This window comes from Homo sapiens, chromosome 8 (genome assembly GCF_000001405.40).
Source record: "Homo sapiens chromosome 8, GRCh38.p14 Primary Assembly".
Taxonomy (NCBI): domain Eukaryota; kingdom Metazoa; phylum Chordata; class Mammalia; order Primates; family Hominidae; genus Homo; species Homo sapiens.
In genome coordinates, this window is record NC_000008.11 from 51,302,110 (window position 1) to 51,304,284 (window position 2,175).

The following is a 2,175-nucleotide window of genomic DNA, read 5'->3' on the forward strand; positions in this document are numbered from 1 at the left end:
GCCCTGAAAGAAATTAAACTGTGTCTGTATTGTCGACATTGTTCAACCTTCTGTTTTTGTTCTTATTTTATCTGGTCTAGAAATAGAAATAAAACCTTGGAAATGTCAAGTTATAGAAGACTGAGCATGTGTCACAATACAGACGATGTTTCTGAGGGAAAAAGTAGGAATTGGCAGACCTAGTGATTTTCATGCTATCAGCATCCATGAGAGTTTGCAGAGGGGGGAGAGATGGGCAGCCAATTAGAGGCTGAGATGAATACAGATAAGCTGGCTGTCTATAAAAATATATATTAATAAAGAGTTCAACAGCTGAATTTAAAATTCATGCAACAAAGGAAAAAAAGCAATATCTGCATCCTTTGGTTAAATGAAACAACACAAATAAATAAACAGTAAAGCTTACAAAAGTATTAACGAGCCTTCTCACTCTCCCTTTCAGGCTTACAAAAAAATCCTAAGTACAGCAGCCAGAGGGTAGGGCTCATGACAGGCATGGGGCAGCTCCAAGTAAGTAGACTGATTTCTTTCTTTTTCTTTTCTTTTCTTTTCTTTTTTTTTTTTTTTTTTTTTTTGAGATGGAGTTTTGCTCTTGTTGCCTAGGCTGGAGTGCAATGCTGTGATCTCGGCTCACTGAAACCTCCACCTCCTGGGTTCAAGAGATTATCCCGTCTCAGCCTCCCAAGTAGCTGGGATTACAGGTGTGCGCCACCACGCCTGGCCAATTTTTTGCCTTTTTAATAGAGATGGGGTTTCACCATGTTGGTCAGGCTGGTCTCAAACTCCTGACCTCAGATGATCTGCCTGCCTCGGCCTCCCAAAGTGCTGGGATTACAGGTGTGAGCCACCTTGCCCAGCTGGCTTATTTGTTTATTAAAAGTCCTGCTCCAGCACTGAGCATGACACTTAAAAGATGGAAGACTTTCTAATTCATTAGAAACATCACAGGGAGAACCCTTTCCCAGTGCACAGTGGCATCATGTTTGGCAGCATGGAAACTGCCGCACTTGCTCCCCTGACCTGAGGGAAAGGGTTTACCTTGAAGCCAGCAGTGCACTGAAATGTGCCTCTGACTGGGAGTGCTTGGTCCCTGGTGGAGCTCATCTGGAGCCTGCTTGGGCTGACAGTCCACACCTAGACTGTGCACACACTGCTGCATTCCATGCATGAACAACACTTGGCCCAGGGAGGCTTTCTAGCAAGGCAGCACTATGTCTTAGAAAGGGAAAGGGCGTTAGGGTCTGTATTAGTCCATTTTCATGCTGCTGACAAAGACATATCCAAGACAGGGCAATTTACAAAAGAAAGAGGTTTATTGGACTTACAGTTCTACATGGCTGGAGAAGCCTCACAATCATGGTGGAAGGCAAGGAGGAGCAAGTCACGTCTTACATGGATGGCAGCAGGCAAAGAGAGAGAGTTTGTGCAGGAAAACTCCATTTTTAAAACCATCAGATCTCGTGAGAGTTACTATCATGAGAACAGCATGGGAAAGACCCACCCCAACAAATAAATTACCTCCCCCCGGGTTCCTCTTGTGAAACTTGGGAATTGTGGAAGTTGTAATTAAAAATGAGATTCAGGGGGGACACAGCCAAACCATATCAGTGTCATTCGTTCTGGGTTCTCTTCCTATTTTCGCCATTTTGAGTGATCTTACGCACATCATTTAATGTTACTAAGCCTCAGTTTTTTCAACTGCAAAATGACCACACTTGCCTCACAGTATTGATGTGACAATCTAATAAGTTTGACAGCAAATATCAAATTTAATTGTGAAATGCTAAAATCATTCCACTTAAATTCAAGACCAAGAGGAATGTTCTTTGTCATTACTTCTACTCAAAATTGAGTGGAAGATTCTAGTCAATATAGTAATAAAAAATTATGGAAAAAATAGAATGTATAGGATTAGAAAGGAAGAAACAAAAATTTGAATACTCATCTAGAGTACCATAGTTTGCCCAAAAACTCAAGATAATCTAGAAATATATTAATAGGACTAAAGAACTCAAAGGAGTTTCTAGCTCTATTATCGATATAAAAATTGATTGTACTCCCATATGTCAGCAACAAACATACAGAAAGCATATTTTTAAAGGCATACATTTTATAATACCTGCAAGAGTTTAATATTTATAGGAATTCATCTAAAATGATATGGAGCACATTGAT